We start from the raw sequence: 23,368 nt of genomic DNA on the forward strand, positions 1-23,368 counted from the left end.
CCTCCTTGGCGCCTTTCCTGTAGTGTGGACCCTAGTAACTTAAATCCTGAAGTCTTATCAATTTGACAGTGAGAAGCTAAAGAAAGAGGAGCCTTTTAAAAAGTGTCAAGGGGAAAAAGTGTCTCTTGCTCCCCCTAAGCCTCTCATTCCATGTCTGTTTTCCTCTGGATACCAAACAGGTTGCGGCATGGGATTGCATCAGCCTATGGGGAAGAAAAAGAAGAAAATAGACAATCTGCACAGAATATGTAAAAGGAGAACCAAAGCCCAAAGAGAAAAATGCTGAGAAGTCGCCAGCAAAGAAAGCACAGTAAACAACAGCAGGGGCCGGGCGCAGTGGCTCACGCCTGTAATCCCAACTACTCAGGAGGCTGAGGCGGGGGAATCGCTTGAACCCATTAGGCGGAGATGGCAGTGAGCCAAGATAGCACCACTGCACACCACCTCATGACAGAGCTAGACCCCGTCTCAAAAAACAAAAACAAACAAACAAAAAAACAGCAGGAGGCAGAGGAGTTTTCCATAATCGTACACCTTCTACTGATGTGCTCTCCATTAGCCAGCCTTGACTTCACCAACATCACTGCTTCTCCTCCTCAGGGCTGGGTGGAATGGGGTTATGGTGGAGAGCTGCAGAAAAGCTTTAGCCACCCCCAGCTGTTAGAGGGTGCAGCACAACTCGCTTTAATTGCTCATGTATTCTACTGGCCCAAGCAGTCTGCAAGGCTGAGAGTGAGTTGAAGAACACTGACTAGGCAAATGAAGACAAGAAGAATTTGAAATGGCGAGGCAATTGAGGTCCTGAAGAAATGAAGCACATGAAGATGGGGGAGCAGCTCAGAACATCAGGAGGCAGTAATGGGATACTGGGTGCTTGGAGGGGAACGAGAGGTAGTGGCAGTGGATTTCATCTGATCAGCAATTTTATTTGACTTAGTGTGACAAATGGACCAAACAAAGAAACTATTCTGTTGTTGATGATCCCTATAATCATTCCCTAGGAATAGTGTGATATAGTTTGGCTGTGTCCCCACTGAAATCTCATCTTGAACTGTAGCTCCCACAATTCCCACATGGGAGGTAATTGAATAATGGGGTCAGTTTTCCCCATACTATTCTCTTAGTAGTAAATACGTCTCTTGAGATCTGATGGTTTTATAAGGGGAAACCCCTTTCACTTGGTTCTCATTCTCTCTTTGCCTGCCACCATGTAAGATGTGCCTTTCATCTTCCACCATGATTTTGAGACCTCCCCAGCCACGTGAAACTGAGTCCATTAAACCTCTTTCCTTTATAAATTACCCAGTCTTGGGTATGTCTTTATCAGCAACATTGAAAATGGACTAATACATAGGAAAATTGATTTTTAAACTAAAAACTGTTCTTTCAAGACGAGAATATTTATCCTATACTTCCTGCTGTCTGTATCTAAAGGTTTGCTTACACATGTCATGTTTTGCCCCAAATGTCCTTACTTCTCTAACCCAGACCAACTTGAACTTTTTCTGTATATTTCCTTGTTCAACTGAGGAAACATACCTCTTGTTGGCTTCTTTCTTACATGAAAACTGAGCTCCAGTTTCTGACATCTGGGTTGGCGATACTTCCGGTTTCTCACTCATGCACATCTCTCTGATCCAGTTTTCTTGGCACTTTTTCTTTCTGACTAGGAAAAATTTCCTAAGCTGTTCTTGCAGTTACCATGCCTTCCTAGGTGATGTACCCTTCGTGAATGATTTTCTTTCTACATGATAGTAAGCCTTCAGTCTAGACCTGGTTGTTCTACATTCTGATCTAAGATTCAATAGAATTCCCTTCTCTTTGTGCCCACCATTATCCTACACACCAGAAGAATTGTCAATTTCTTTTCATTAATACTGGCCAGTTGTGGATTTTTTCTTTTGTCTGATAGAGTCATCATTCAGATCATAACTGATATCTCACACATTTTCTTTGATACTTGATATAGAAATAAATTATCATATACACACGCTCACAAATGGAACCACCCTTACCTTGGGGCACAATATCTATATAAATAAGCCACATTAATAAACCTCAATCAAAATTATATACAGTATCTATATCAATAAGCCAGAAACCTCAACCAAAATTATAAAATTACACTTGTACTACTAGTGCTAATGTCATCATTTGCCAACACAAAAAGTACTTTTGTTGCAATTATTTTCTTCTTTCCACCATTCTAAGTTTGAATACCTGGGATTGACTAAAATTGCAAAACTAGTTCTATGTTTAATGTTTTTATTCATGAATAAGTGTCTTGTTTTCTATCCTTATTAACTTTTTTTCTTGCTAATAATGAATTTATTTTATTTCTTATACCACAGGGGTTTTCATAAGTAACTTTCAATCCTTTTTGGAGCAAAGCAGAAGTTATTTGGTAAATTTATTAATGTAAATATTCTTTTATTCTCTTTTTTTTCTGTTCCTTCTCCATTTTTGTAGTTCAACACTTTTCAAATTAGTCTTAATTATTTGATCTGACCATTGCCATAACCTGTAATTGGATAAAAATGTCTAAGTACTGGTCTCGGTTTGACACTTAGAAGCAGTAACCTCAGAATGTTCCTTAACTCTACTTAATGAAAAGAGAACTGTCCTTATAATGAGGACAAAGGGATAAATAAATAAAATCATAAATATGAAAAGTCTTAACATGATACCTGAATCATACTGTATCCTTAATAAATGCTCTTTGATTCGTGAATTATAAAATATGATTTTTTCCATCCTGACCTAATATTTGTCATACGTTTAGCAATGACAATCATGCCTTACAGTGTAAGATTCTTGGGAACCTTCTTTCTGGCTTAAACATTTCACCAGGGTCCCAACTGTGAAGTCATTAATCAAATAGGTATGCAAAAAATTTTAGATGTGGACAAATCCTTTCCTTCTTGAGTAAATGAAGCATTCTAAATAGCCGTGTCTATTTTGTCTTTTTATTATGCATTTCAAAGAAGGCATGAGTGGGTTTTCTCTGGAATGCCCGGTGAGCCTTCATTGCTGAAATTGGGGTGATACCCATTTTTCTCCAACCAACTCTGACAATGCTTAATGGGAGTGAGAGGAAGTGATTGGTCTTAAGAGGAAATGCAATGAACAATTTTCTTTCTCTCGGTCAGCTATGACAGCATATAGAAAGAACTTGAGTTTCAAAGGCTGTGACTGCTGCAGGAAACTCTAGAACCTGTGGCGTTCAAGTAGGATAACTGTCTCCCTCCAAAGCATTTTGGTAATCTCCTCCTCGCCCCCACCCCCTCTGATTTATGACTGTATCTTTTGACCTTCTTTCTTTCTTCATAAAAAGCACTAAGTTGCCATTTATATAGCAGAGGACAGCAGATAAATGTTAAAATTTACTGTAGATCCTCACTGGGGAATGGGCTTACAGATCTCTCAGGCACCAAGTGTCACAAAAGCATGTGAGTTTTGATATCCTTCAGTCATGTGAGGAGTAATCATAAAAGGACAAAGTCCTAAAAAAAATTAAACTTTCCATAGACAGAGCATAGCTGCATTTTAAGTAACCACTTTAAAGAAATGACTGCTGTTTTGGCAAAAGCTAGTAAGCCACAGAAAATTAATTTCATGTTTCATTGACATTACTTTCAGGAATTTCATGTTGACATAACCTATAGAATAAGGGTGAGATACTGCAGACAATATATTTAATGCTGCTCTACAAGCAAAAAATATTTTAAATCCAAACAGAGACTCAGCTTTATGAAATAATCATCTTCTGTGTGACAATGAATGAAACTGTAATTTTCACATTAATTGTCTAGATGCTAATTGCTTCTAGAGCAAAAGTTTAAATCAAATTGTGAGCTCTTTTTAAGGCCTCTGTGTTGAACCTAAGTTACATTTCAAACTAATTCTTATTTTGTCTTCCATGTAGATAGCAATGCTTTTATATGATTGATATATTAAAAATATCAACTAATGTCTGATTCAATTGTATGCTAAGCTAAAAAGAAGGCACCTATAAACACGTACTTCTAAATACATTCAACAAAATAATTGCTTTTATCCAAATCAAAATGTTTTCACTTACTCCACAGTTGAGAGAGAGGGAGATTATTGGCTTTGACCAGCAATATGCATGTTTGTCTCATAAAAGCTGTATGTCCTCATTCTTTGCGTTCGCATCTGTCACCATGAATCTGTGATCCACCTGCTGAGAAGACTATTGATTGACTGTTGTTTGACCAAGGCTCTCTTTGGGTCTGAGGTAACAAGCCTTGTTTATATAATGCACAGTTTCTGTTTCTACCTCTTGGCTTTGAAATCTGCTCAAAGTCACATATTAGCAACTGGCAGAAATCTGGCTAGTATTCCTGCTGTTGTAAAGGCTTCTCAGCTAGTTTCTATCATGTAAAGGTATGATTCAACACATCTATTAAATGTTCTTCTCATCCTTCTGGCTTGTCATTTGTGCTCTTGCCAGTATACCGTAAAGCTGGGAATTCACTGAGTCTGGCAGATTTGAAAAACACTTGGTAATATAGATATCTCAGGCATTGGCTAGGTGGTTAGATCTCTTTGATTTTATGACTCCCAGATTTCATCATGACAACCATTGCTTGAAGTCACAGAAAAACTTTCCTGTTGTGATTTAGTATTGCCACGTGTATTAGACAATTATTACCACAATAATGTCGCATAATAAGCCATTCCAAACTCAGTAGCTTAAAACAACAATTACTCTCATTCACACATCTGCAGATTAGGTGGAGGTTGGCTGATCCAGGTTGGTCTTCACTAAGCAATGCTCCGTTTTTGTGTTAAAACTGGGTCCACTTTATATATTTCTCATCTTCTTTGGACTGGTGGACCAGCCAGGACTTAACTCATGGTAATAGCAGAAGCATAAGAGAGGAAATGAAAACAAACAATGCTAATGCCTATTTGCCAAACTGGCAACTGTCATTTATGCACACATGCCGTTGCCAAAGCAAGAGTCTAAAGTCAAGGACAGATAAAGTACACTCCACTTCTAGTGGGAAGAACCACAAAGTCTTAAGGCCAAGGGCCGGACACAATGAGAGATTAGGTATTGGAGCCAACAATCCAATCTATCACACTGTCAAATGTCAAGTAGGGTGAAAAGCAGTCTGTAGCCGTAACTCAAGGAGCTGCTAGTGGTGCGTTGGAGAGGTACAATTTTGTGGGTAATGAAGAAGGCCACACAACATCTTTCCCTTGACTTTTACCTGCACCTTGCTATCATGTGAGAGTCTCACCGCTTCTGGGGCATTACTAAGGGATTTCACAGTGGAATTCTGAATCTTTGTTAATTAATGCTAGGTTGCATAGAATGCTAATAGTTACTATTTGTGGTAACACTAGCCCGAGGTTCACTAAGATGGAAAAGGAAGAATTTTACAGAGATTTGTAAATTTGTGTAAGGAAAAGACTGAAGCAGAAGTGATGTTGTGTCATTTCACACTTAGACTTTAAGAAAACTGGCAGCTTCTGCTCCCTCTTTCTTGAAACCCACCTACCATTCAAGCAGTCAGGTTACCCTGCTGGAGACACCACATGAAAAGACAAGGTGGAGCTGGGGATGTGGGATAAGGGAGAGGATACCTGGAGGATAATTGAAGAGCCCAGCCAACAGCAGGATCCTGGACCCCAGACACGTAACACTAGTTGAGTTGTTTTAGTCAACCCCTGTTTGTTCAAACCATCCCAGGTGAGTTGCCAGATATATGAGTGAAGAGACCATCTTGCCTTCTTCAGCCCCAGAAGATATCATATGAAGCAGAGATGAGTAATCCCTGCTGTGTTGCTTCTGACTTCCTGATCTACAGAATTCTGAAAAATAATGAAATTGTTACTGTTTTAAGCCACTAAGTTTTGGGGTAGTTTTATATGCAGCAATAGATCATTGAAACAACTTCTCATTGGAATTTCTCTAAAAGAATTCTTATTTGGCCTTTATCATTTTGCCATTTTGAGTCATTGTTTCTATGGAATATGGTACTTTTATTGCACAGAATATTGGTAAAAATGATGAAGAGAAGACTTATTTCTTATTACTGCATGAGTTTGGAGAAGAGTTAGTTTATTCTTTTGCAACTAAATGTTTTTTTTTAAAGCATAAAACCTATAGATAGATTATCTAAAGAAAGGGGTTCAATAAATTAATGTATTAGCTGATTTTCTGCCCCCCCCCCCCAAATTAAACCAGATGGAAGGATTACCACCTATCAGAGGCTCTGGGGGAGAATCCATTTCTTGTTTATTCAAGCTGTTGGCAGAATTCAGTACCTTGTGAGTATAGAAACTAGGTCCCAGTTTTCTAGCTGGCTGTAAACTAAGAGCTGTTCCCCACTTTTAAAGGCCATTTGAATTCCTTGGCTATGACTCTCTTCTTTCATCTTCAAAGCTAGCAATGACTGGTCATGTCCCTCTTACACTTCAAGTTGATCCTTTCTCTACTTCTGTCTCATTTTCTCACCCTGCCAAGGGTACGTGTGATTAGACTGGGACCCTTCGTATAATCCAAAATAATCTCCCTATTTCAAGGATGACTAACTAGCAATCTTTATTCCATCTGAAACTTTAATTTCACTTTGCCATATAACACAACAAAGTCCCATATTCCAGGAACTAGGACACTGATGTCTTTGGAAGATCCATTACTCTGGCTACCATAGCAATATTCCCACATTGCTCCATTCCAAGAAGCTCCTTTAACATCACAGTCTATGTAAATAGTACTCTCAGGAGTTGCACAGTAGGCAGCTTGTACAGTCATACATGGCAGCACTTAGAAGCATATTAGAACAGAGGTAAGGGTGGTTGCATGTCTAGGGCTCCATTTCTGTGTCACCAATGCTCCCGATCTCAAACTGGAAGGTCACTACCTTCCTCTCATTCTGGAGTAGGCCTTCTTTTTCCAACCCCTTTCTCTATTAACCCAAGAGAAAGATTTTCTCTTAGACATAAAGAGATAATTGAAGTTCTTAAAAGAAATGTTTATAAGAGAAATAAGAATTTTTAAAATTACAGAAAGAACAAGTTTTAGGACAGATTATTCAGCAAGGCAAAACTCCTAGGTATCACTGATCCTTCAGCTCGTTCTCAGGTCTAGCTTTTCTTCTTATAGTATCCTGAATGGATTCTAGCTCTACTTACTAAGCTATGTCTCACTGTCCAGCTGAATCAGCCTTTCTCATATGTCACCAGCTAGCACCTTGTCCAGGAGACAGCTGCCAACTTGCCCTCTTTCTGTTTATGGTAATATTATTAATTCTTTTGCAATCTAATTTTGAAACCATGAGATTGACTTGAGAAAGATTGACATAGGGCAATGTCTCTCAACTTTATGATGGAAAACATTTTTCAAACATTTCTAATGTAAAATGTCTATTATTTAAAGACTTCAAATGAAGCCTTCCTTGTTTATTCAGTTTCCCCTTCACCTTCCCTTGTAGCTCCTGAAACTCTATCATAGAATCCCAAGGCTTCTTTGATCATGGTTTTGAAAACATTACTATAATAGAAAGAACCTTGAAAAAGGAGAGAGAATACATTTCTTAATTATATCAACCTTGTGACTTTGAGCAACCCTCTTAACTCTGAGTTTCTTTTCTGATATAACTGAGAATAATATCTGATCAATTTGTTGGACTGCTTTGATCATCAGTCTCATCTCCCACTGCAATTCTGCTCCCCATTTATACTTTAATCTTCTAATGTTGTAGGATTATTTGCCCTCCCCTAATACTCTGCCAATTTTTATGACCCTGGGCCATTGACCACTTTTTCTTCTATATCTAGAATACATTTTCCTTTTTTCTTTCAGTGAAATCCCTACTTTTCCAGCATAAATGACAGCTTTCTGACCCAATCATAATGAAGAGGGGTGTGTGTGTGTGTGTGTGTGTGTGTGTGTGTGTTTAATCTGCATTTGCATGGCATTTTGTATAACAACTTTTTACACCATGGCTGAGTTTTGATAAAGAAATAATTGTAAAATTTGTATCTATTTTATCCGGCATCTAATATAATCCTTAGTATGAAATAGATTCCCAGTAATTGTTTTTAGAATGAATAAATCAAAAACTTAAAGTTTTGTATTGTGTACTTATTATTATTATGCTAGCCATTTCTGTGTGAAGACTATTTTTTATTCCTCTGCATACCTTACCTTAGACTTTTAAACTCTTGTTGTATTAACCTACCAATACTCCACTCACAAAAGCATTCTTGGTAACATGGAAGGCACAGAAAACCTAATAAATGAAAAGGAGAATTTGTATATTTTATAGCATGGTTTTCCAAATTTTTACCATGCTTGTTTGTGCTCCCAAATTTCTTCTTTCCCATACTTGCACTCATGGTTCTGCTCTACCACATCTACCTTCTTTCCAAACCCACTTCTCAAAACATTTCCTCCATATACAGAAAACTCTCATAAATCAAGTCAAATTTTCTTCATCCAACTACATTTTTACATTAATAGAGAACTGAGCAGAAGAATTTTTTATTAGTTTAGGTCTCATATTTTGTTTTCTCAGCTCTATTTTCAATTACCACCTGTATTTGTGTATCTTGAATCAATTCCATCGATACTATCCCCTCCTGTTCACACTCATTTCATTGGTTCAAGTTACCACTTCTGTATATTTTTCAGGGTAAGAACTGCTGAATTACTTATTAAGTTAACTACAAAAGTGAAAGAATCAGGACCTACTTCAAAAAGGCATCATATTCCAGATTTTAGAACACAGCATTTTCTCATTTATATGTAATTTTTCTGGGGTATATCTTCACATACACATAAGCTTAACTTTCATTTTAACTTAGCTGAAAAAAAAACATTAGAATTTATAAGAAACATAAAGTGCGATATGTAATTAGAAACAGTAATTTGGTAAGAGAAAAAATGGGGTTTATATTGTATTCTTATTTAGGTAGTTGTGTTGCAGAATAAAATTTTTTAAAAAACTGCACTAAAAACTCTTCCCTCTAGAATGAGAACTCTCCTTGCTCCTTCATGGTAAAATAATTCATTAATCTATTCATTTACATATTATTTATTCACTTGTATCTTCATCACTAAATATCCACTGAACACTTTAATGCGCCCAGAATTGTGCTACAACTGGATACACAGTTGCCAATAAACAGGTTTGTTGATATCACAAAGCTTATGAGAGAGACAGATACAAACCCAATTAGCACAACGAAGTAAGTTGTGGACAGACCCTAATAAGAAAAATATTTGAGCAGGGGCATAGAAGAGTGAAGTCAAGAAAAGGTGATGTCAAGAAAGGCTTCACAGAGCAAGTGATGCCTGATTATCACATTAAATAATACCTGGGTGTTCTCTAGGTGACCAAACAGAAAGACATTCTCAGCAGAGGTCGAATGTCTTTCTGTTTGGTCACCTAGAGAACATTTTGACAACATTGCTCACAAACAGTGTTGACAAAAAACTCTTGGCACAGGTGTTACATCAACAAAGTGTATCTTTGATGTCCCATGATATCCCCTTTTATCAAGGATATAGTTTCTCTCAACCAAGAGTTCTATTAGCTACACCAGCTAATTTTGGAGGCACAGGGATGATGGCTTCAAAATTGAGTTGTTGCAAAAAGCCTGAATTTTATTAGTGAGCATACCAAGGTTTAATTAATTCTACTGTTACTACTTACTTGTCATGATATATTGGGGAAATAATTTAATCTCCCAGAGATTCACATTCTTCATTCACCAAGATAATGACACCTATTTTATTGTGTTATGTGAGGATTAAAATAGATAATGAGTAAAAAATACTTAAGACAGTACCTGGGATATGTTATGCACTCAAAAATGGTGACTTTTTTTACTAGCAGTGATACCAATACCAACACTGTTGCCATTGGGAACACTGCAACTATTGATAATAACAATTGTTACTATTTTCTGAGTTCCTTGGGCCAGCAAAAGTACAAAGTCCTTTACATGCCTTAGCCAATTTACTTGCCATTTCTACTATTATTATTCCTACAACTAGTATTGCCATAAAATCATTGTTGGAGGTAATGATATCAAAGTGTCCATAAATGTTATTTTCTCATGGCAATGTGCAACCTACCTATAACCAATCAGCTTGGGAAATGGAAAGCAATGTTTCTTTTTTCTTAATTGTGCTTTCACTACTGAATTCAGTAGAGTAAAAGAAATCTGCCTCAATATTATTTTGAGATATAGGACTGTATTATTTTCCTAGGTCTGCTTTCAAAATTACCATAAATTTAATGACTTATGACATCACAAGAAATGAGTTCTACTGGGCTGGAATCAGGTTGTCAGCGGGGCTGTTTTTTCTGAAGGCTCCAGGGGAGCCTGTTTCTTACCTCTCCCAGTTTTTAGAGGGTGCTAGCATTCCTTGGCCTGTGACTGCATTACATCATTCTCTGCTTTTATCTTCTCATTGTCTTCTCCTCCTTAACTTCTGAATATCCTGCCTCTCTTTTCTAAGAAATCTCGTGATTACATTGGGCATTGGATCCACTCTGATCAACCAGGATTATCTCTCTTGTTTAAGATCTTTAACTTAATCACATATACAAAATCCCTTTTACATACAAGATAACTTACTCAGAGGTTCTGGGGATTATGACACAGACATCTTTTGGAGGGCTATTATTCCATCTAGCACAAAGATTGTCAAATTGATGTTAAATTATTCAGGGAATAAGAACATCTGAAGAAGGTTTATAGTAATATTGTGATATAGAAAATATCTACACAGTGTAGAACATAAAACACATAGTGTAACCCATAAAACAAATATTCTCTTTGAATACATTCTGTTTCTTGTATTTCATTTGATTAAAGCAGGAGCACATGGGAGATTTGCAAGTAAGTAGACTCCACCTTGACTGGTCACTAGCTATGGGCTGGTGTACTTCATCTAGGAAATATTTTCCAACTACTCACATCAAAGAGGCTGTTCCATTTCTGTTCTGTATGTGAAGACTGTGGCTGATCAAAATTACTAAAAGTGGGGTGAAGGAATCAGTAAACCATAGCACACAAAAGCTGGCTCTTCACCTGTGTTTGTAAATGAAGTTTCATCGGAACACAGCCATGCCTATTTGTTTCTGTGTTGTCTATGACTGCCTTTGCATAACAAGGACCAAACTGTGTATTGCAACAGACAGCTTATGGCCTGCAGAATCTAAAATACTTATTAACTCACTACAGAAAAAAATCACCAACCCCAAGGTTAGAGAACAAATTTCAGAATTAAAAAGACACACATGTGAGTTCCAGCTCTGCCACATGCTAGCTGTTTCATCTTGGGCATGTTACTTGCTGTGGGCATTTGTAGTTATTTGGCCTCTAAGAATCTGTTTGTGTTTATTATTATTTTGGTAATAGTTCACCTAAATTTTGATGAGGGACCACTCCTTCCTCATTCTCATTTTACGTGGTTTGGATGGAACTTACCCTACCCCAAGTTTCAAGGGCAAGCATGCAACCTAGACCGAAGCCAAAGGGCTAATTTAGGAATTTTGTCAGGGAGAAACATTTAATCCAATATGGACTAATGTCAACCAGGGATAGATGCATTCCATTTAGGCAAGAAAATATCTAGAGCTACTGCTTACTGTATAACTCCTTATAAAACTTGGGAATGAGGCCAAGAATAGATAAAATAAAAAATAGGAAAAAACCTGAATTCCGATAATGTTATTTGTGACCCTGCATGAAACCACACATGAAGCCAGCTATATGCATGGGGTTTTCAGTTACATGTATCAAAACATTCTGTTGTTGCTTAAGTCAGTTTGGGTTTGGTTATCTGTTACTTGCAGCTAATAGAGACCTAACTGATATAATATCTAAACTTGCTGAGCCTCAGTTTCTTCATCTTTAAAAACTAGAGTGAAAATATCCACCTCAATATCTTTTGTGATAACTAATTGAGATCATGTACCTGGCACATGGTACAAAAAAAAAACAAAAACAGAAGTGGTAATTCCCATTTTCATCATCAACATCATGATTAATGTTAAAGGTAGACCTAACATTGCTTCATCTCAGTAAATTCTACAAAATGCACATCTGAGCTCTCCCCTTGACTTAATATAGAAAGTTTAGTAACTCCATGCCTTAGATATTTTTATTTGTAAAGTAGAGATGACTAAATATTCATCTTTTTTTCAATGTTTTATGAATTAAGTGCCATCATGGACATAATTATTTTAATAATATAATATATTACATTAATTTTTGCAATAAATATTTGCAATAATCTTTGCAACAAATCTGTAAGTTGATTAGACCAAATTAGATCAGATCAAATGCCTAGATATGTGTAAATATATATGTGTATTTACTCAGCGGTCAGTAAGGCTGCCTCACCCTATATTAGGGTCAGAGATAATCTAGAAGAAGGAACTCATACCACGTCTGGCCCTGGCACTAACAAGACCCTTAGTGAGACCCACATTGAGCTCTGTACACTGGGTCATCCACGCTACCATGAAACAGGATATGGTCTCACCCTGCGTAAGTCATAGAGAGACATAGATGTCATTGTTTGTCCCAAAAAACAAAAGTCTAGATCTAGGAGGACTGAGTCCCAGATCCTCTTCCTCCATGACATCCCTATGCAATATGGTGAAAATTACTTGATTTCTCTGAGCCTCAAGTACTTCAAGTGTGCAATGCAGATGAGTGTAACTACCTTGTCTATCCCACGGTATTATAATAAGGAGCAACGGTGATAATAGCTATGAGAAAGTTTTAGGAAAAAGTAAAATATGTTGCTGTTCTCTCCATTATTATTAAGAATTAAATCCTTTTCCATGGATTTTTTAAAAACAAAAAACTTTTGCATACACAATTTACACAAATATGCAGCTAACTGTTGTTTCACTCTGAGTCAGCAGCTGAATGGTGTCTATCGTTTGCCAAGTTTAAAAATAGATGCTAGTCTTCTATTAACACTGGGTTCAAGAAAATTTAGGTTTAGCAATGGGTATCACTTGCATTTATTCCCATTTCTAGCTTAGAGGTCTTTGGAAGACTGTTTAGAAAACCTTTGGGCAATGAATAGTCTTACAAAACAACATTTGATGAGTTGGAATAAATGAATTAGAAACATATGGACCAAATTTCCCCAAAAATACATCAGGGTTGAAAAATTAGGGAGAAAAAAACACTTGGCTTTTCTGAAATATGTAAAGGCTAGCTTGAGAGACTTGACTAACCAAAAACTCCACAGCATTTTTGCACCACATATTGGCAAGAACTTGAGCTTCCTCTTCACTGACTTTTGGTACTGTTCATCAATTTCTCCCTTTCCAATGCAGGAATTTAAAATTATTATATTGTTTTCTCCAGGATTCTAAGACTCTCAAAAGTATATGCATGGAAAACCTAACCCATTTATTACAAACATTATGTGCTGATGAAAAAAATGTATGGTATATAAATATTTATCTTATAAAAATTGACATAATTTATTGAACAAAATGCACAGCTTACAAAATAACTAATACTTATAACCAATTACTATCGTTGTGGGTATCAACAAAGTGATGGAAAGAAGTTATAATGTTCAGTTTAGTTAAGTCTGTCTGGGGCAGCTTTAGTAGCTCTGGTGTTCTTTGAAAGTCATAGAAGCAGGTCACTTTAATATTACAGGTGCCACAGTCTCTTCTTGATTTAACCCCAGGCTCAAACCACATTAAGCTACCTAGATCTCGCTTCTGTTATTATACAAGAAAGAATAAGAATTGTCCTAACTGTTCATATCTAATGGAAGTGGTGAACACAACCAACCAATTAAGAGGATGGGATACCAATGGATGTGTGGGTGAGGGGAGGGGAAGTTACATTACATTAATGCTTATTCCAGCTCCTTCTTACTTATTCATAATAGGTGGGTTAGGTTTTCCATGCGTATACTTTTGACAGTTAGAATTTTACTGTTCTTCTCACTTAATTTTAGAATGTTTTCCTTTTATCTAAATTCTAAACAGATTCTTCCCTGCTTTTAACGAAGTTGAATCGATGGTCATTAAAAAATATATATATTTCTTTCAGTAACTCTAATGAGTTTCCCATTTACACTGAGTAACTTTATGAGGCTGAGATGAGAACATTAAAAGGATCATCATTTATTACTAGTCTGAAAATTATCAGTGAAACGACAACTAGAACTGAGGGCTTTCTGCCTTCACCTTTCTTTATATAACCCAGGAACCCATTTGTTTTGTAACAAGAGAGGGCAATGAGTAATACCTCTGATCTCCTATCTGTTAAAGCCTTTTCTAGCCCTTCCCAGCTCTGAGGGCTTCCTCTAAACTGCTGTAGTCTTTGTCTGAACTAATTCAGCATTTATCTTAATGTGCAAGGCCTTATTCACTAACATTCCATGTGCATGTATCTGTATCTGTCTAATCTACCCATTCAAATTGAATATTCCAAAGATAGGAACAGCTTATGCATCATAAAACCCACAGACTTATAATGCATATGGAGTGTATGCAAGACACAGCCTGTTTATTATTCCTTTTTTGGTCATGTTAGTAATAACCAACTTGTCTGATATATGTTTCACTAAATAAGCTCAAATACTTCATGGAGTGCATAAAGTTAATAATTTGAATACACATTCCCAGATTTCATTACTTTTAACAATATATTATGCTAGTTCTAGAATACATGTACTTGCAGTATACCCACATGCAGAAATTCCTTCAGCTCTAAACTTTTACACATTTCCTTTCTTCTCAGTTTATATTAATGTGGGCTGTTCCATAAGCAACATGGCTCTCCTTTCAGAAAAGGTTCAATTTTATTTTATTTTATTTCTCAAGGTGGAGTTTATTATTTTGAGTCAACTTGATAAATTGTAAGATTCAATATTAGACAGTTGGGTAATGTATGTTTTATTTTGTTTTAATGTGCTGCATTTATTATACTTCTCTGTCCTGAACCAAGTGGCCTTTTTATTATTAAAAATCTAATGAAAACAAAGTTCACAAAGAACCATTTTAAAGAATACACTTATCATTTTTTTCTAGTAGGTGGACTTACAAGAACCTGTTTTTATAGGTCTGAGCATGAATGACAAGCTGTTTGCTTGAGATTTATGTAGAATTTATAGTAAAAATGAAGTTTACATTTATTTTAAAACTAAATTAAGTGGATTCAGAAGCCATTTAAATAAAAAGTTGATTGAAATCTGAACCATGACAGTTTCTCAATAAGGAGCATTTGATATCTTTCTAATAGATTTGTTTTACTGAAGAGAAGTTTTAAATTAAGGTCAGGCTGGGGAAGAATAACAGGACTATTCTCAATACTTTTTATTAGAAAAATTATTATACTCACATTGTATTTATATCAGTTTATTTCAATGCACTTTTTTTGTAACACAGTCAACAATCACAACTTATCCATAGCCACCTTGTGGTTAATAATTTTTACTAAATCTTGGTCATCCCTTTGCATCTGGGTATCAATAATGAATCATTTCAAACTTACATTGACCCACTAGCTGCTGAGAAACAATTCTCCATGAGTCTCTCAAGGTTTTGCATGACTTGTAAGCAGAGACACAGACTGACTTTGTTCTGGGTTATCTTTTTAAGGATGTTTGAGTATAGAACAGCTTTAGGAGGGAGATAGAGATAGTAAATCCTCCAGAGATAAAGACAGACAAGCTTAGTGATTATTTAAAATGATTTGGGACCCCCTTAGCTCAAGGTTTCTCTCTTTTAATACAACCCACTACATTTGCGGGCCCTTTTTGCATCACCCTATTAGGCCCCAAGGAACCTGCACAAGGAAGTGCTGATGCTCTGGCTACTGCTGTTGTTATGAGCAACAAACTCCATTGTCTCTGACCCAGGAGTCTCGTGGTTTCCGCAGACTCCATGAAACTGGCAGCCTAATTTGTTAGTTTATAAGTAAGGGACAATCTCAGCCCCTTCACAGTTCTTAGCACTAGTCTTGCATTTTCTGAATTGCTTTAAAAAAATTCCTCTTTGACTGTATGAAGTTAAGGCTGCATAAAGACAAGACTGCTGGTTAAAAAATGAAAAATTCAGTCAAGTGTCCAGTGGAATGATTTGTGTTGAAACTAGATTATTTTATTAAGTGACTGAGTTGACTCATTGTTTTTCTAATGTCTAAATAGTTTAAGTTGGTTAGCATTTTAAAGATTAAAACAAAAAGTAAAATGGTTTAATTTTCAATTTCCAGTTTATTGTTTCGAAATCACACAGAGAGGATTGATTTAGTCCCTTTTTTCTTATTGAAGTTTAATTAATAGATTGTTTATTTCATGGATGAGGTTATGTGATGCTTAATGGGAGGAGCACGGATGTGATAGTGGTCAATAGGTGGGGCTCTGTATCTGGCGCTTGAGGATTTGGGCTTCAGCCCAAGTCCGACAACTTAACCATTGGAATAAGCTGGAGCATCTGTAATATGGATGTGATGACATCTGTCTGATCTTGTTTTTCTCCTCCCCAATCAGCAATGATTTTGCAAATACATTTGAATAAAATGAACTTTATTAGAAACAAAATTCATGAAAATGATGAGCTAAAATTATACAAGTGAATAAGACAAAGATGAGCCCAAGGTCCTAGGGGAGACCTTCATTGAACCAGAGCACAGAAACATGTCAAAGAAAGTCAACAAATTCTAAATGCCTCAAAACTAGGAATCCAGATGAGAATGAAATGGATCCATGGTTTTACCACAGACTTCATTTAGAATCTTGACCAAATACTATGAGGACTAGCTAAAAATTAACAGCAAGATCTTAACATGTATCCTTATTGTACTTAATTAACCTGAGGTTAACTCTCTAATAAGTTGTATATTATTCTAAATTTATGGTAATAGCTCAATTATTTTTAGTTACTCTTTTTACCACTTTCAAAATGTTGCAGCTGAAAGAATATTTTCAATACTATTCTAAATAGGGATCTGGGATAGACCTCCATGGCTCAAAATTCTGGTATCAGAATGAAATAAACTACGAACATTTCTCACTATAGGATGCAAATTTAGGTGGCTTATTTCATTGTGCTTTACTTCACTCTGTGGCACTCATGTCATCATTCTGCACCTTCTTTTGCTATTCTCATCTAGTGATCTCACCTTCTCTTTATAGAGCTCCTTCATCTTCCTTCTCTCTGGACTTTGCCTTCGCATATCTACCCACTATCCAACCATTCCTTTTTTTTTCTTCCACTTATGGTAGAGAAAAGTAAGTCACTCTTCTTTCCTAAAGGTGGTATCTCCACAGCTAATTGTATTTCCATTCACACTTGTCTTTCTCTGATTTTTCTTTAAAGGCAATTCCCTTTAAATTCTGTAGCAACTTGAATTCTCATTTCTTAAGGAAAGATTCCCCTCCACCTAGGGCTTGTGGATCCTGAGAAAATCTTTTCTGAGATCTGCTGCCCCCTCAAAATGAACACTCAGTCCTTCTTTGAGTTATGGAACTTCCAACAGAACATGCTGCTACACTTCTGTATTCATTGGTAAACTCACTGTAGTTTGTCTTCCCCTACACCATTTGCCTGCAGTTGTTCACTCAAAGAAACCAGTGAACCCCCATTGTTTTCTCAGACCATATCCAGTTTTTATTCTTTATAGCATTTGACACTGCAAACTATCTACCTTTCTGAAAGTGGCTCCTCCTTTGACTTCTGGGCATTGCACGATTCTCGTCTCCCTTCTCTTTCCAAACTCTTTTGTCTCTCCTGTACTTACTGTTTGTCCTCCTCCCATTCTCTAACTGGGAGTCTTCCCCCAGGATTTATCCTTTTATACTTTGCAACTATTTTACGTGTATTTTATCAGAATTCTTCATCTTATGGTTTTAAATAAGTCCACAGCATAAGTGACTTCCTGTTTTATATCAACAGCCTTAACATTTTCTTGACATCTCTCCCAAATTATCATTGTCTCTTGAATATTACTGCCCCACCCTAACCGCTCCAGCTCTATATGTCTGGGACCTAGTTCATGTTTCTCCCCTGAGCCTGCTCTCCCTTTGACATCCCCAGACTTCCTAATGGTTAAATAGTTTCTATAATAAAATGATTGGAGTTCTCCTTGACTTCTTCTATTTTACTTGTTCCAAGGAGTCCATTAAAATATCCAGTCAATCCTTGCTTTGAGATGTTTCTGAAAATATTTCATTTCTTTCCAAACTCGCTGTATCCTATATGTACATTAAACCTCCCCCAACACACATATTCAGTGTCTTATTACTGAACTTTTTTTCTGAGATGGCTTCTTAACATCTTCCACCCACAAAATCCTCCCCATATTTATCCTATATGTGACTCAAAGCTCTACTCACATATCATTTTGTCCTCAGTATTTTTCCTAATCATAATAGTCAGAAATGATAACTTTCTTTTCAGCACATGATTTGTAATGCTTAAACTTCAATTAATAAATAGGAATATTTCTTTCTGTATTTATAGAACTATAGGTTAGAGAGTGTCTTCAAATATAATATATCAGGTAACCATCACTTGTTTATCATTATTATATGTTTGTACACATATTTAATCACCTCTATTAGAAAATAAACTCTCATGAGAATTAATATCTTGTATTTTTCTCCACAGTAACCATATAGCAACTTCCACAGAGTAGATGTCCTAAAAGATTAATGGAATGTGTAATTTAATGGATAAAATGACAATGATCCTAAGCATATACCCACATGAAGCTGCCTCTGTTTTCTCCTCTCCCTTACCAGAAAGCTGCTGCTGCTTGTGATGAATAGTTTTTTGGGGATTTGGTTTTGTTTTGGATTCATGAATTAACTCTCATTCTAAGATGCAATTAGGAAACTGTAAGTTATAATTAAATATCCAGAGAAATGATGTACATGTGTGCTGCTGGAAATACATTTCTAAGGCAAGTTTTGGTGAGAACACAAACAGACTTTAACTTGATGCCTGCATGAGGTGAACCCTAATAGGTTAGGAGGAGATCTGGGGTGGGTGAGGTGGAGAGCAATCCCATCCATTTCCCTTCACCTTTCTTTCTTTTGCTTCCTCCAAACACATATTGGAAAGGTCACTGCTGTTCAGAAGAAGGTTTTTGAAAAAAGGGAGGAAAATGAAAGGAAGGAAGCATGGACAGGACATGGCTATAGCAGGCTTGACTCAAAGGCAAATTTTGACTACTTCATTCCAATGCTGTCCCTGTCTTCCAACCCCCTCAATGTGATACTCACACACTCAACGAGTGGTTCTCCTTTATCCCTGTGATGTGTTTTCCATCCTATTCTATTTATATCAGTTCCTCTGGCCCCAGGGTCAGCAATGTTTGGAACATGGAGTTGTACAAGGAAAGGCTGCCCTCTAGGAAAATCCACAGAAGGGAGTCCAGGTATTACTGAAACACCAGGGGTTTGGTCTAGGGCTTGTTCCTCACCTCACAGAAAGCCAGTCACTGAGACTATGAGTATTGCCAGGGAAGAAGGCTTTATTGGGGTGCTGCAGCCAAGGAGATGAGAGATCAGTCTCAAATCTGTATCTCTAACTGACTAAAATTGAAAGTTTATACAGCAAGGAAGGAGTGTGACTATGTGTGGGAAAACAGGAATTAGAAAGGGTAAGGAAGGAAAGGTGGCCAACTGAAAGCAGGTGGTCAGTTAGGGAAACAGGAATTAGGGACAAGTAAGGAAGAGGAGTGTCAGTTCCTTGATACCGTCTGGGAGAACTGAGGGTCTTTCTGAGAAAGGAACTCAGATAAGACAAACATAAGTTTCAACTTTTAAGACCAGGAGGGTCAATTTCTATTTTTTTTTTTTTTTTTCAAAAAAGCCATAAACATCAGTTCTATGGGAAAATAGGGCCAGTTTCATAAGAGGGCTTTGGTACTGAGCATCCATTTGGCACACAAACATGTGTGCAGGAAAAGAATGAAAAGATAGGGATACTGGCAGAGAGACGCTGTGTTGAACCAACTTTCCAGGACATCCCCAGGAGACCTGTGAAGACAGGTGGAAGGTTTGGGGGAGAATCAGAGCTTAATGTGTATGTGATCATATTTACACATATAGGCTGGTAGCCCCATAAGTGGGGGGCCATAAAAAAGAAGTTGCAAATTAGAAAGTAAAGGTTAACTAGAAGCTGGAGACCAAGGTGGAAACACCTGATTAGAAGGGAAACAGAGACCAGGAAGAGCACGCCCTGCCTCTCTGAAACCTGGGCAGAGAGAGAGAAGAGCTCAGCCTGGGGAAGGTAATTTGAAATGTATTTTAACAAACACCAAAACCCCTATTTTGTTTCTTTTATTTGAGACTTGACAAATCTTGTTTATTATAGGTAACATGTGTTTTTAAACCACACAAGCACCTCTGACAGTACTTCAATTTTGCTTCTTGTTAATCTTCCTCTTTTTTAGCCTCTTTTCTGTGTTTTATTCACATTTCTCTTAAACTGACATCATCAATTTTGCTCTTATTAACCATGATTTTTCAAAAATGCTCCTTGATTTTTTACCTTATTACCACTTTTCCATTTCCTTTCTCTTATCCTTATTTCTGGACAAGCTGCTATGCCCAGGGTTTTGATTAATTCACTTTTTGGCCATTCTTTTTCTTTTTCTTTTCCTTTTTAGCTAGGTCTGGCTTTTGGCTTCTGAATGTTGATCAGTGTTCTCCCTTGCTCCATATGCTAATTAACAACCAATACCCCCAAATTCTTTCATTAAAAAGTAGTCTTGATACAAGAACTGTTTAAGTCAGAACCCTCCATATTTCCTTCTTTGTCACTGGCAAAAAGCTGTGAGAAGGATTCTTGATGCCTCCACAATCACCGGGGCCTTGTCCTGAAACAAAGAAGACTGTCCAGGCTTTGTTACTCATCAGAACTAAAATAATACCACCCCCCAGGATTCTGTCACTTTTTGTTTTCCCTTTTATTCAAAAGGAAAAATAGCATGTAGCTGCCAATAGATGCTGTGATCTACAAAATATTTGCACAACATAATTTATTTTTTTATTAAGAGGTGTGGCTAGAATGATTCAAATAACCCATTACTTTCTTCTCACATGTCCTGCCATCCCTGTCAAGAAATAATGAATTCAACTTTTGTCAGAAAAACTTCTTTCACTGGATGAGACAGGTCAATTGGGTGCATGAAGCATATTTTCCCTTCTTTTTCACAAAAGGCTCCAGATTCTCCTTGATGCACAGAAAAAAAAAAAATCACCAGGCCCTTGAGCTCCCCCACAGGAGCAGCCAAAAGAAAAGCTTAAAATATGTTCCTTGGCAGAGAAATGCTCTTATTCCCATGGAAAAGAAAAAAAAATAAAATAAGAAATCTGGATTATTGCTCATCTGAGGGCCATGTGGGTCTCCAAATAGACTTTGTAGCAAATATGTGCTTCCTGTGATCCAGCAGTGAGCACTGCTAACCTGGCCAAGTCAGCAAAGAGGGAAAGTCAATTTCACATGGGAGCCTTGTCCATAAAACAAACGCAGCTCTGCTCAGGTTGTGTGTATTGCCCAGCTGCTGCCTTTATGTAGAAGTCAGGCAAACCCCACTTCCACAGTGCCAGCCACGCCCTCTGGGCCATGGGCCAGTGGTCATTTCCAGCAGCAGAGACTGAGGGCAGGGCAGGGTTGGAAGGAGCTGCTGTAGTGAGTGAAGTGAGAACACCGGCCAACGTGGGAGCAAAGTAGCAAGCCAAGGCTTGGTTGGGGTCAATTCGTGTGGGTCTGTAAATCTCCTTCATGGATCATTAGTGCTGAAAGGGGCCTCTGCAGGTCATTCTGTGTATTCCTCAGCTTCTTCTGGGTCACTTCCACACATGGTTTTCCTTCCAGGTCTGATAGATTTTCAAGAAAGAATATGTCTTCAGTCTTCTTTTTTTATCTCCTAAATTCTCCATTTCATTCTTCTTGAGTACTGATATACTCGACTAATTTGACCTAATAAGCTAAAATTTTAGGTAGTTAAATCATCAGGTTTGATTACTGTACAGTCTATGGTAAATATGCAGCCAGCTGTCTAGCAAATGTTCAGAAGAGCCAGAGAGTGTGCATGAAGCTGTATAATCTATTGCCTTTCCCGGGAGAAAACCCCATATTTACATATTTTTTCAACAAATAATTGATTGAGTGCCTGCTATATATCAGAAACTTCCTAGAACTTCCTTTGCCATCCTGTCTCTAATGGCAAAGGATGAAAAAAAGACAAAAATCTCCACTTTGTAGAATTTACATATCTTGGTGATGGAGTAAAACATCATCTCTAATATAAAGGCAATCTCTACTATCACCATCTCAGCTATTATATCATTGACTGCTACTGTAGTTCATATGATTATTTCATTTTAGACTGACAACAATTCATGCAGTAGGGAACATCATTTCTTTTTCATAAAAGAGAAAATTGGGCTTTAGAGAGGTTACGTAACTTGCTCAACACTGTGAAAAGGTGAAAACAGGTCTGCTGATTTCAGAGCCTGGCTCATAACCACTGGACTGACTACATACAAATAATTGACCTAGATAGTCCCCACGTCTTGACCCTCTTTATTTTAGTGCTCTTGAAAGTATTCCCAGAGAAATCCTTTTTAGGATGGTTATAGACATATAGTTCATTCAGTTCAGCATGAACTGAGAAACTACTCTGTGTTAGGAGCTAACCTAGAAGTTGATAACACAGTGAAATGTGATCCCCAGCTTCACAAAACTTTGATATATGGAGAGGAAAGAGGTGTAGGCAGTATGATGAGGTAAATGCTATGAGAGAGATGTGAACAGACTGTTAATGAAGCATAATTTGAAGCATAAAATAAGGGCATCTAAGCCCATCCTCTGATAGGGAAAGTTCCTCAGGGATGATAACATCAAGTAAAGAAGAAAAGAGTGTGCGTGCATGTGATCATATGCCTGTGTGCATGTGTACCTATGCATGCATGTATGTATGTGTACTCATGTGCATATGTGTGTATGCATGTTTGTGTGTATGTGCTTGTGTGTTCATGTGTGTAGTGATCAAGAGGGCAGCATGAAAACAAAGTGGAGAGAGTGGGAATCAGTCTGGCAACAGGACACAGTCATGAAACAAAATGGTACATTGGATAAACTTAAGAGTAGCACCTTTTAAATTTAGACTAAGAAAAACTTCCAGGCTTGATCTTACTCTGCCCATCACTTATACTCAAGCCTCTCACTGTGTATGTTTATCTTGCTTTAATCTCTAAAATAACAGGGAAAAATAGTAACATGATCTTAGAAATGTCTTCACCTCCACTCTTTTTACCTAGCAATTGGATTTTCTTGGAGTAATATAAGCCATTACATTATTCAATGATGCC

At 37.1% G+C, this 23,368-nt stretch overlaps 1 protein-coding gene across 10 annotated transcripts in view, besides 1 other annotated feature; it reads left to right on the forward strand.

Moving 5' to 3' along the window:
- Positions 1-23,368, forward strand: part of LYPLAL1 (lysophospholipase like 1) — a 271,619-nt gene that overhangs the window by 152,749 nt on the left and 95,502 nt on the right. For 4 of the 10 annotated variants that reach the window (XR_001736964.3, XR_007078558.1, XR_007078563.1 and 1 more), the window contains one exon: positions 180-8,110. The exons of the other annotated variants lie outside the window; for them this stretch is intronic. The gene's annotated coding sequence lies outside the window, so the exon portion shown is untranslated. Of the gene's footprint in view, positions 1-179; positions 8,111-23,368 lie in introns of those variants that run through there. 10 annotated transcript variants of the gene reach the window in all.
- Positions 4,121-4,415: a silencer, noted in NCBI's record as "tiled region #2527; K562 Repressive non-DNase unmatched - State 24:Quies". NCBI's record gives its function as "represses a minimal TATA promoter and a strong SV40 promoter by Sharpr-MPRA in K562 cells {active_cell/tissue: K562}" and the evidence as "EXISTENCE:reporter gene assay evidence [ECO:0000049][PMID:27701403]".

This window comes from Homo sapiens, chromosome 1 (assembly GCF_000001405.40).
Source record: "Homo sapiens chromosome 1, GRCh38.p14 Primary Assembly".
Lineage (NCBI taxonomy): Eukaryota > Metazoa > Chordata > Mammalia > Primates > Hominidae > Homo > Homo sapiens.